This window comes from Homo sapiens, chromosome 22 (genome assembly GCF_000001405.40).
Source record: "Homo sapiens chromosome 22, GRCh38.p14 Primary Assembly".
Taxonomy (NCBI): Eukaryota; Metazoa; Chordata; class Mammalia; order Primates; family Hominidae; genus Homo; species Homo sapiens.
This window is the reverse complement of record NC_000022.11, coordinates 20,590,473-20,603,093: the sequence shown is the minus strand read 5'-3', so window position 1 is coordinate 20,603,093 and position 12,621 is coordinate 20,590,473. Positions and strand designations below refer to the sequence as shown.

The 12,621-nt window shown below is 51.9% G+C and overlaps 1 pseudogene, besides 1 other annotated feature; it reads left to right on the top strand.

The window, feature by feature from the left end:
• Window positions 2,417-2,607: a silencer, noted in NCBI's record as "fragment chr22:20954774-20954964 (GRCh37/hg19 assembly coordinates)". NCBI's record gives its function as "represses an EF-1alpha promoter that drives an FKBP-Casp9 reporter gene in an ReSE screen in HepG2 liver carcinoma cells {active_cell/tissue: HepG2}" and the evidence as "EXISTENCE:reporter gene assay evidence [ECO:0000049][PMID:32094911]".
• On the top strand, window positions 2,640-12,616 carry CCDC74BP1 (coiled-coil domain containing 74B pseudogene 1; annotated as a pseudogene).
• The last annotated feature ends 5 nt before the right edge of the window (window positions 12,617-12,621 follow it).

Below are 12,621 nucleotides of genomic sequence, written 5' to 3'. Positions count from 1 at the left end.
AGTTATGAGATTACCAGCTTGGTCTGAGCATCCTTCCGGCTGTCATCTGCCATCAAACACAGAGTGAGTGGGCAGGAGGGCTGGCCTGGCCTCTTCAGAGAGGGTTCTGGGTGCTCCTGCCTGGGGTGCAGTCTCAGGGTGGCCTGTGGGGGTGGGGTGCAGCTGTCCTGAGGCCTGTGGTGCCACCACCCCATGCCCCCGTGCCACTGCCTGCGCTTCAGTTTGCAGACCAGATGGCGGCTCTGTGTTCCTGAGATGACTTCCTTGCCAGCTTCTGTTGCTACCACCTCACAGAGCCCACGCTGGCCAGCGGCCACAGGCTCAACCTGCACTTCCTAGGCAGCTACCTGACACTGCCCTGGCTACTGCTGGCTTTCTTCATGGCCTCTCTGTTCTGCATCAGGCCCCTCACCTGTGCACTGCTGTTCACCCTGGGCTACGCCCTCTACTCCTTGGCCATGATGTTGCTGACCAGGTGGGGAAGCTGCACCAGCCCTGATGGCATTGGAGGTGGGAGGCCACTCCAGGTGGGAACATGGTTATCTTTGGGCTCCTGGTGGGGGCAGGGGGGTTCCTGCAGTCGTGGATGCATCTAGGGGAAATGGGACTAAAAAGGGAAGAAGGTAGCTTCAATAAAATCTAGTGCTTAAAGACACAGCAACTGTTCGATGATATTGAAGTATTCAAAATATATGACAACTACAGATTCACTGACAGAAACCACCACGGGGTATCTCACACCTTCATTCACCCCACAGATGACACACCAGGGAGAACAGCGTCTCGGTGGTGATTTTTTTTTTTTTTTTTTTGAGACAGAGTCTTGCTCTGTAGCCCAGGCTGCAGTGCGGCGGTGCGATCATGGCTCACTGCAACCTCCGCCTCCCAGGTTCAAGTGATTCTCCTGCCTCAGCCTCCCGAATAGCTGGGATTACAGGCATGCGCCACCATGCCCAGCTAATTTTTGTATTTTTAGTAGAGATGGGGTTTCACCATGTTAGTCAGGCTGGTTTCAAATTCCTGACCTCATGTTAGCCACCCACCTCAGCCTCCCAAAGTGCTGGGCTTACAGGTGTGAGCCAGCGCGCCCGGCCAGTGCTTTGTATTTTTATGTAAACTCAGAATACAGGTATTTTAGGGCCTGTGACCAAAAACCAAACCAAGCTTGTAACTCCACCAGGGATCTGAATAAACCTGCCCTTGCTTTTGAGTTTTCCGCCGCCTAGGCTCAGTATCCAGGCGGTTCACCCATACAGGGTCCCTGACCACGTGGGGGCTGTGGAAACAACTGCTGGGCACCCTGTTGGCCCCTCACCCCAGTGTCCACGGGCCTGGCCCTCTGGTTTCCTTTGCTTTCCTTGCCCAGGGGCACAGTAGACTCGGCAGCAGCAAAACCAAGGCGCATATTAACACTGAAGTGCCTGAGACAGAAAGGGGCTGGGCCGGAGCCATGTGAATTTTGCCTTCTACTCAATATCAACGTTGAGTAGATTGGCCTGTAATCCCAGAAGTTTGAGAAACCAAGGCAGGGAGGATCACTTGAGTCCAGGAGTTTAAGCCCAGCCTGGGCAACACAGCAAGACCCCATCCCTACAAAAGATTCAAAAAGTTGGCTGGGCGCGTGGCCCACGCCTGTAATCCCAGCACTTTGGGAGGTCAAGACAGGCAGATCACCTGAGGTCAGGAGTTCAAGATCAGCCTGGCCAACATGGTGAAACTTTGTCTCTACTAAAGACATAAAAATTAGCTAGGTGTGGTGCCACCTACCTGTAATCCCAGCTACTCGGGAGAGGCAGGAGAATCACTTGAACCTGGGAGCTGGAGGTTGCAGTAAGCCAAGATTGTGCCACTGCACTCCAGCCTGGGTGACAGAGTGAGACTCCGTCTCAAAAAAAAAAAAAAAAAAGATTCAAAAAGCTAGGTGTGGTGGCTCACACATGTGGTCTCAGCTACTTGACAGGCTGAGGTGGGAGGATCACCCGGGCTCAGAAGGTCAAGGCTGCAGTGAATGATCACGTCACCGCACTCCAGCCTGGGCGACAGAGCGAGACTCTGTCTCCAAAAAAAAACAAGCTGACGACCTGAAACATATGCCACCATGTCTGTGGCTTCCAGAAGCTCTGAGGATCTCGGGAGTGGCTGGGGACTGTGCACTCAGCCCCAGGGCAGCGTCTGGCCAGGAATGGAGGCAGACACAACCTACTGAGTAGAGAACTAAGAACAGCAAAGCCAAGTGAGGAGGCAGGGTCTTGGTGGTTGGGGCCTGGACACTGGAGAGAAAAGGGGACTACTGGCACGAGAGCAGAAGCAAAATGCAGTTGGGGGTTCCCAGCCAGGAGGCACTGGGGGGGACTTCCAGGGAAGGTCTGGGGTTGGAGCAACCCAGGAACCAGTTCTGGGGCACAAGGAGGAGGAAGCTCTGGGGACTTCTAGGAGGGAGGCTGGTGGCCGGGGTCCTGAGGAGGCCAGGCTAGAGGCAGGAGTTCTTGCACATTCTCGTCTCTCCACCCCGGACGCCTCCAGAGTGGTTTACTCTAACCGCCACCACCTCCTCAACTCCTAGGATGCCCTCAACTTTTTGCCACTGGACCACACTTCCCTGCTGTGAACAGGCCAAATCTAGATGCTTCTCAGACCTCATGGCCTGGAGCCTCTGGCAGCACAGCTTCAGGCTCTCCAGACACCACCCCTGCTCCCTGCACCTCCACATCCCCCTCCTTGCACCAGGCAACGCTATTCCCCTGGAACCCATTTGTGGCCCACTCTCTTCCATGACCAACACATCCTATCTCTAGGATGTACCAGCACCCACATGATCCCAGGTGACTCAGATTCTGATCGCCTCATGCAGGCGACCCACAAGCAGAGGCCCTGTGTAATCAGGAGAACTCTATACCTTTCCTCTTGGACATCAAAGAGCAAGTTAGATCCCCTAAATGGCCAATAACTCTGACATTTCCAACATAGAGAGGACTCTTTGTATTTTTTTGAGACGAGGTCTTGCCATGTTGCCCAGGCTGGAGTGCAATGCACCATCATGGCTCGCTGCAACCTCCAAATCCTGGGCTCAAGCAATCCTCCCACATCAGCATCCCACCCAAGTAGCCAGGACTACAGGCACGCACCACCACACCCTGCTAATTTTTAAATTTTTTTGTAGAGATAGGGGTCTCACTACATTGCCAGGCTGGTCTTGAACTCCTGGGCTCAAGTGATTTGCCCGAAGCGCTGGGTTTATAGGTGTGAGCCACCACACTGGAGAGAGGACTCTTATGTAGCCTTCACTTTAAAAATTAAGCTAGCTTCCCTTGACTCTCAAAACCAGAATTCTTAGCAGAATTTTCCCAAGTGAGAAGGGGCCGAAATATATAAAATTATTTCCCAATCAAGAATTTCTACTTTTGGCCAGGCACAGTGGCTCACGCCTGTAATCCCAGCACTTTGGGAAGCCGAGGCAGGTGGATCGCCTGAGCTCAGGAGTTTGAGACCAGCCTGAGCAACATGGTGAAACCCCATCTCTACTAAAAATATAAAAAATTAGCCAGGCCATCATGGAGGCTCACACCTGTGGTCCCAGCTACTCAGAAGGCTGAGGTGGGAGGATCGCTTGAGCTTGGGAGAAAAAAAAAAAAAAAAGAATTCCTACTTTCTCCCAACGAGTATTCCAGCTATGAAAATCACCATTGACTTTAATATCCATGTGAATCTTTGTACGCCCTTAAGAGATCAGAAGAATGCAAAGAAGTGAGAAGAGGAGGAGGAGCAAATGCTTTCCAGCCACAGCAGGAGGCTGGCACTTTGGAGGGTGGAGGCCTTTTGACACCCAGCTCAGCCCAGGGGAGCACAGGGTCAAGCCGAGGGTCAGTCACCAGGCAACTTCTCTCTCCACTGTTGGGTCTTCCTGGCTTCAGCGCCTCTGCAGCCTCCTCCCTCCAGCTGCCTCCAGCTGTGCTGACCTCTGGGAGAGCAGCCAGGGAGCACCTGGCTGCATGTGCTGTCTCGGACTTCCCAAGGAGTGCTCAGAGCACTTTTTTCTCAAGATGCTCAGGGGAAAAGCTACTCGGGCCTTCTAGAGAACCAGACTTTGTCCTCTTAAGATTCAAAATGGTAAACCGGGCGCGGTAGCTCATGCCTGTAATCCCAGCACTTTGGGAGGCCGAGGCGGGTGGATCATCTGAGGTCGGGAGTTCGTGATCAGCTTGACCAACATGGGGAAACCCCATCTCTACTAAAAATACAAAATTAGCCAGGCATGGTGGCGCATGCCTGTAATCCCAGCTACTCAGGAAGGCTGAGGCAGGAGAATCGCTTGAACCCAGGAGGCGGACGGAGGTTGCGGTGAGCCGAGATCGCACCACTGTACTCCCGCCTGGGCAACAAGAGCAAAACACAGTCTCAAAAAAAAAAAAAGAAAAAAAAAAGATTCACAATGGAGACCGGGCCTGGCGGTTCACGCCTATCCTAGCATTTTGGGTGGGAGACCAAGATGGGAGGACTGCTTGAACCCAGGAGTTCAAGACCAGCCTTGGCAACATAGCAAGATCCTGTCTCTGTTAAACAAAACAAAACAAAACAAAAAACAGCCTAGGCAACATGGGGAGACCCTGTCTCTACAAACAATAAAAAATAAAACATTAGCGGCCGGGTGCGGTGGCTCACATCTGTAATCCCAGCACTTTGGGAGGCTGAGGCAGGTGGATCATGAGGTCAGGAGATCAAGACTATCCTGGGTAGCATGGTGAAAACCTGTATCTATTAAAAATACAAAAAATTAGCTGGGCGTAGTGGTGCATGCCTGTAATCTGAGCTACTCAGGAGGCTGAGGCAGCAGAATTGCTTGAACCCAGGAGGCGGAGGTTGCGGTGAGCCGAGATGGTGCCACTGCACTCCAGCCTGGGCAACAAGAGTGAAACTCAGTCTCAAAAAAAAAAAAAAAAGATTCACAGTGGAGACCGGGCCTGGTGGTTCATGCCTGTAATCCTAGCACTTTGGAAAACCAAGATGGGAGGACTGCTTGAGCCCAGGAGTTCAAGACCAGCCTGGGCAACATAGCAAGACCCTGTCTCTGTTTAAAAAAAAAAACAAAACAGCCTAGGCAACATAGGGAGACCCCCTCTCTACAAACAATAAAAAATAAAAAATTAGCGGCTGGGCACAGTGGCTCACGCCTGTAATCCCAGCACTTTGGGAGGCCAAGGCGGGCGGATCATGAGGTCAGATCGAGACCATCCTGGCTAACACAGTGAAATCCCGTCTCTACTAAAAATACAAAAAATTAGCTGGGCGTGGTGGTGGGCGCCTGTGGTCCCAGCTGCTCTGGAGGCTGAGGCAGGAGAATGGCGTGAACCCAGGAGGCGGAGCTTGCAGCGAGGCGAGATCATGCCACTGCACTACAGCCTGGGCCACAGAGCGAGACTCCGTCTCAAAAAAAAAAAAAAAAAAAAAAAAAGCCAGGGCTGGGCATGGTGTCTCATGCCTGTAATCCTAGCACTTTGTGAGGTCAAGGTGGGTGGGTCACTTGACATCAGGGGTTCGAGACCAGCCTGGCCAACATGGTGAAAGCCCATCTCTACTAAAAATACAAAAATTAGCCAGGCATGTTGGTGCATGCCTCTAATCCCAGCCACTCGGGAGGCTGAGGCAGGAGAATCACTTGAACCTGGGAGGCAGAGGTTACAGTGAGCCGAGATCATGCCACTGCTCTCCAGTCTGGGTGACAGAGTGAGACTCCTTCTAAAAAATAAATTAAAAATGAAAGTGATAAATTGGCAGCTGGCATCAGGGAGAGGCCAGTTCCTGATGGGTCACACCTGTTTCATTAAAGTGTTAATTGAATGCAGGCACCAGGGAGAAGCAATTTCCCCGGCCATGTGCATTAAGAGACAATGGCAGAGTATGACCTTCTGGGACGGAAGAAATCTTCAGATGGGCATGCGTACAGTTTCCTAAACACACTGCGTGTGCTCATCTCCCAAGGGTAAGGAGGACACTGTGCATGTAGGCAGCCCACCCTAGGGGAAGAATCTTGGGAAAGGGGTCAGTCTATAAAGTCCTAGAATCAAGGTTAAACACCGCACTTGACCTTTATGTGCCTGTTTAGGTCTCTTCCAAGAATACTTTCTTTCCTGTTGTAAAGCTTTTTTAAATAAACTTTCACTCCTCCTCCAAAACTTGCCTCGGTCTCTTTTTCTGCCTTATGCCCCTCAGTTGAATTCTTTTTTTTTTTGAGACGGAGTCTTGCTCTGTCGCCCAGGCTGGAGTGCAGTGGCGCGATCTCGGCTCACTGCAAGCTCCGCCTCCTGGGTTCCTGCCATTCTCCTGCCTCAGTCTCTCATGTAGCTGGGACAACAGGCACCCACCACCATGCCCGGCTAATTTTTGTATTTTTAGTAAAGACGAGGTTTCACCGTGTTAGCCAGGATGGTCTCGATCTCCTGACCTCGTGGTCTGCCCGCCTTGGCCTCCCAAAGTGCTGGGATTACAGGCGTGAGCCACCATGCCCGGCCAGTTGAATTCTTTTTTCTGAGGAGGCAAGAATTGAGGTTGCTGCAGACCCATACGGATTCGCTGCCACTAACTCAGACACCTTCCACTGCTAACACTGACTTTGTTATTGTGTTTATTTGGAGGTTAAGTATGGTTTAAGGAGATGTGTGTAGGTACCAGGTTGACAAGGGGTGGACTTGTGATGGTTAATTCTATATGTCAACTTGTCTGGGCCACTGGATGCACACATATCTGGTTACACATTATTTCTGGGCATGTGTGTGAGGGTGTTTTCAGAAGTAATTAGCATTTAAATTGGTGGTGCAAGCAGCCATGCCTATACTTCTGGGGTAGCTTCCCTATAGCTTGCAGGAGCCACAGCAGGCAATAAGAGCCCCATCCTCCAAATACTGGGGATCTGTGTTCCGATTGATGATGGCTGCTTCAGATTGTGGAAGTGCAGACGAAGAGGCAGGCAGCCACTCTTGCCATCTCCACTACCATGTTTGCAACATCCCTCCTCAACACTCACCCCCTCCCTAGAGACATACCTTCCAGAGGTTTTTATGGATCAGCACCTTTTCCTGCCTGCATTTTTCTTTTTCCCTTCTTGGAAGCCACTTATGTAGGACTAGGACATTCAAAAGCAACCATAAACCAGGCACAGTGGCTCACGCCTGTAATCTCAACACTTTGGGAGGCTAAGGCAGGAGGATTTCTTGAGCCCAGGAGTTTGAGACCAGCCTGGGCAACACAGCGAGACAAAAAATTTAAAAATTAGCCAGGCATGGTGGTGTGTGTCTGTAATCCCAGTTACCAGGGAGGCTGAAGCAGAAGGATGGCTTGAGCCCAGGAGTTGCAGGCTGCAAGTGGGCTATAATTGTGCCACTTCACTCCAGCCTGGGTGACTTTCTTTCCACTCAGGATATCCTCCTTCCCATCCCTTATAACATTGCTGCCATTCATTCCAGCTATCCATAAGCTATAATTACTGAATACATGTTGATATAATTATTTTGAATAACCTGCCATCTGTTCAACTAAAAATAAGAACAATACAAGATTCTGGCCAGGTGCAGTGGCTCATGCCTGTAATTCCAGCACTTTGGGAGGCCGAGGCAGGCAGATCGCCTGAGGTTAGGAGTTCAAGACCAGCCTGACCAACGTGGAGTAACCCCCGACTCTAATAAAAATACAAAATTAGCTGGACGTGGTGGCACATGCCTGTAATCCCAGCTACTCAGGAGGCTGAGGCAGGAGAATCGCCTGAACCCAGTAGGCGGATGTTGTGGTGAGCCAAGATCGTGCCATTGCACTCCAGCCTGGGCAACAAGAGTGAAACTCCGTTCCCCACCCCCACCAAAAAAAAGATTCTATTTTATCTTCATTTATTTCTTATCTAATGCACTTCCTTTTTTTTTTTTTTAGATCCAAATTTCCTATACCATTTTACCCCATTTTTGAGACAGGGTCTCTCTCTGTTACCCAGGCCAGAGTGCAGTAGTACAATCACAGCTCACTGCAGCCTTGGCCTCCTGAGTAGCAGGGACTGCAGATGTGCACCACCATGCTGGCAATTTTTTTAATTTTTTGTAGAGACAGGGTCTGGCTATATTGCCCAGGCTGGTCTCCAACTCCTGGGCTCAAACGATCCTTCTACTTTGGCCTCTCAAAGTGCTGGGATTACAGGCATGAGCCATGCACCTGACCTTTCTTTCTTTCTTTTTTGAGACAGAGTCTCCTTCTGTCACCCAGGCTGGAGTGCAGTGGCATGATCTCGGCTCACTACATCCTCCACCTCCCAGGTTCAAGCAATTCTCCTGCCTCATCCTTCTGTGTAGTTGGGATTACAGGCATGCGCCACCACACCCAGCTAATTTTTGTATTTTGAGTAGAGACGGGGTTTCTCCATGTTGGCCAGGCTGGTCTCCAACTCCTAACCTCAGGTGATCCACCCAACTTGGCCTCCCAAAGTGCTGGGATTATAGGCATGAGCCACTGCTGCCAGCCCTGATCTTTCATTCTGTTGTGTTTTTGACTTCTTATATTTTCTTTTTGTTTTTTGAGACGGAGTCTTACTGCCCAGGCTGGAGTGCAGTGGCATAATCTCAGCTTACTGCAACCTCCACCTCCCAGGTTCAAGCAATTCTCCTGCCTCAGCCTCCTGAGTAGCTGGGATTACAGGTGCATGACACCACATCCAGCTAATTTTTTTATTTTTAGTAGAGATGGGTTATCACCATGTTGCCCAGGCTGGTCTTGAACTGCTGACCTCAAGTGATCCACCCACCTCAGCCTCCCAAAGTGTTGGGATTACAGTCATGAGTCACTACCTGGCTGACTTCTCACATATTCTCCTTCTTTCTTTCTTTTTCTTTATTTTCTCTTTCTCTTTCTTTCTTTCTTTTCTTTCTTTCTTTCTTTCCTTTCTTTCCTCTCCTTGTTTCCTTTCTTTTCTTTTCTTTTTTTTGGTGGTGTCTCACTCTGTCACCCAGATTTGAGGGCAGTGGCACAATCTCAGCTCACTGCAACCTCCACCTCCTGGGTCCAAGCAGTCCTCCCACCTCAGCCTCCTGAATAGCTGGAATTACAGGTTCATGCCACCACACCTGGCTAATTTTTGTATTTTTTAGTAGAGATGGGGTTTTGCCATCTGGTCTCGAACTGGGCTGGTCTTCGAACTCCTGACTTCAAGTGATCCGCTGCCTCAGCCTCCCAAAGTGCTGGGATTACAGGCATAAGCCACTGTGCCCGGCCTTCACATATTCTTTAGATTCTTTCTCAGAGTGTCTATCCCTGTTTCCATTTTCTGTCTGTAATCTCATGTTGTCCACTTTTCCATTAGAGCCCTTAGCATATTAATCATAGTTGTATTCCATTTCTTGGTCTGATAATTCCGACATCTCTGCCATATTTGAGTCTGGCTCTGATGCTTGCTGTCTCTTCAAACTGCATTTTTTGGTTTTTATTATGCCTTGAAATTTTTTGTGGGGAGCTGGACATGCTGTACGGGGTACGTGATAAATGGGCTTTCTGTGTGAAGTTTTTGTTTGTTTGTTTTTGTTTTTTGAGACAGAGTCTCACTTTGTCACCCAGGCTGGAGTGCGGTGCCGCAATCTCCGCTCACTGCAAGCTCTACCTCCTGGCTTCAAGCAATTCTCTGCCTCACCCTCCCAAGTAGCTGGGATTACAGGTGCCTGCCACCACGCCCGCTAATTTTTGTATTTTTAGTAGATGGGGTTTCACCATCTTGGCCAGGGTGGTCTTGAACTCCTGACCTCGTGATCCACCCGCCTCGGCCTCCCAAAGTGCTGGGATTACAGGGGTGAGCCACAGCGCCCGGCCTGTGTGAGGTTTTATTTTGCTCTGGTTAGGGGTTGGGCCATGTGTGCTGTTTGTTCTAACTGTAAGTGTCAGAGGCATAAACTTCCTCTGGTGTCTTAGTTTTTGTCTCCCTGTTGTCTTTAGGGTTTCCTAGACATTTCTCAAATAAGTTCTGAGATGGGCTGTTCTTTCACTTGTATCCCCTGTTATTATACAGGAGCCCTATTGATGTGGCAGGAAGATGTGGGGAAGAGGAGCTAGAACAGGCTGGGATTGGGTATGTTCCCTTCCTCCCTTGGGTTGGGTATGTTGGCATCTGGTAAAATCACAGTTGGCCTGGCTCTGGCGAACATTTTTTTTTTTTTTTTTTTTTAGGGCAGGCCTTGTAAAGAAAGACATATTTCTTTTTTTTTTTTTCTTTTAGGCAGCATCTCACTGTGTCACCTAGCCTGGAGTTCAGTGGTGCCATCATAGCTCACTGCGGCCTTGACCTCCGGGATTCCAGCAGTCCTCCTGCCTCAGCCTCCCAAGTAGCTGGGACTACAGGAGCACAGCACCAAGCCCGGCTAATTTTTTTTCTTTTACTTTTTATAGAGACAGGGTCTCACTATGTTGCCCAGGCTGTAGAGAATGCCTGAATGCGTTTTATTATTTTATTTTTTCTTTTTTGAGACAGAGTCTCCCTCTGTCACCCAGGCTGGAGTGCAGTGGCGCGATCTCTGCTCACTGCAACCTCCGCCTCCCGGGTTCAAGCCATTCTCCGGCCTCAGCCTCCCAAGTAGCTTGGACTACAGGCACGTGCCACCACGTTCAGCTAATTTTTGTATTTTTAGTAGAGAAGGGGTTTCACCATGTTAGCCAGGCTGGTCTCAAACTCCTGACCTCAAGTAATCCGCCCACCTGGGCCTCCCAAAGTGCTGGGATTATAGGCATGAGCCACCGTGCCCAGCCCTGGGTGCCTTTTAAATCAGACTGTACTCACCCAGGAAGAGCCAGCCACAGGCCCTGCCCCAGCTGCCCACCCTGCTCCTCAGCCACGCCCCTTTCCATTGTGACGGGCAGCATGGCCACTGAGCCAGGGTGCAGTGGCAGCGGCTGTGTAGTTGGGGGTGGCGACATGAGCCGTGCGAGCTAGCCTCCCAGCTGGTCCCCGGGATCTCAGGTTACGTCGCACCCCCCGCAGTGCCGCCGGTCTGTGGGTGTCCAGATCGACCAGCAGAGGCAGATCCTGGACTTGGACCTGGGCCTGCAGTTCCTACAGCAGCAGTCCTTGGAGTTGCTGGCCAAGCTCCACTAGAAGATCGAGCATCTGAAGTGGGAGAACAAGGGTGAGCCCAGCCACAGGGCCCTAGGCCTGCCCTGCCTCCCCAAGCGCCTGAACACGGCGGCGGCCCGCAGAGCAGAAACGCAGCACATGAACTCCAGCACCTGCCTGGGCTCAGGGAGGACACAGGGCAGCAAGCCCACGCTAGGTCCTGCCATGCTGAGCTCTTCCCCTGCCCCAGGACGGAGACCCGCCTAGGCCCGGGGCGGTGCCCTCCTTGTCTGCCTGTCCCGCCGGGGGCAGCATCATTTCAAACGCTGACCCTGCCAGCCCTCCCCTCTCCAGGCAGGGTCAGGTACACATCTGTTAAAAACTTCGTAGAAGGAAAACATGCCCAGTGCCGGTGCACAACTGAGTGAATTTTCTCCAACTAAACATGCCGGATCAGGAGCAGGCATGCCCCCGGCTTCGCCTGTGCCCACACTGTCCTCGGGCTGGGCCTTCCTAACTGCACCCTTAGCAGCTCCTCACCCCCACTGCCCACCAGAGCAGAAAGAGGGCCCGCCAGGATGTGGCTCCGCTCCTCCCTCCCTGCTTCAGCAGAGGCTCCAGCGAGGGCACCAGTGCCTGCAGCCTCATCTCCCTCCCCGCTCCCTGGTGCTGCCTTACCTAGGTGCTAAGTATTCCATCACCAGGCATCTGTTATGTCAGGATCCCCCTTCCCCATGTCTTCTTGAGCCTCTCCCCAGTCCCTGATGCCCACAGGATCATGACACTGACCATGCTCATCCATGGCCAGGGGCTCCCAGAGTTCACCCCTGTACCCCTGGGGCCCAGGTCCTGCCTGGCACCATGGGCGTCTTGTAGTCAGATGGGAGGATGAGGCTGATGTGCTGGGTGGGCTCTGCCTAGGGAACAGGCAGGGTCATTCCTGCCCTCACATGCCCACAGCAAAGGTGTGGTGGAAAGCGGGACCTGTGGGGCAGGGCCCAGTCAGCCAGTGGCGAGCCAGGACTCTCGGGGTTCAGCAGGGGGTAGTGGACAGCCCAAGCTGCTTCTCTTAGAATGGCTGTGGCTTCACAAGTGATGAGAAGAGCATGCGCTTGATTTCAGATCCCCATTACAAGCTCATAATGAATGAGTCACAGGAGAAAGGTGAGACTTGGGCCCTTTCGTGCCTGATGGGAAGCTCCTGCCACCCCGGGGAGCCCCTCCAGACTGTCCTTGCCCACCTGGCTGCACTGGCCTCTGTATGCCAACCCAGTGAGGACAGGTTCTGAGGGACCTGGACAGATGCTGCTGCCCCTAGCCATGGCTGGACGATGTTATACAGCCAAGCACAGCACGTGCTGCTCTCAGGAAGCCCAAGGGCTGTGGTCAGTGCAGTGGTGATGGTGGGCACAGGGTGCTTCCCAGACCTTCCCTCCTCCAAGCAGAGCTCCTGAAATGGGAGGGGACTCTGGGACAGCCCCTACCCTGCTGGGTCTTTGCCTCAGATTGCTGCTGTGGCTGGGCCTAGGATCTCCAGCCTTGTGGCTCTGATTCCT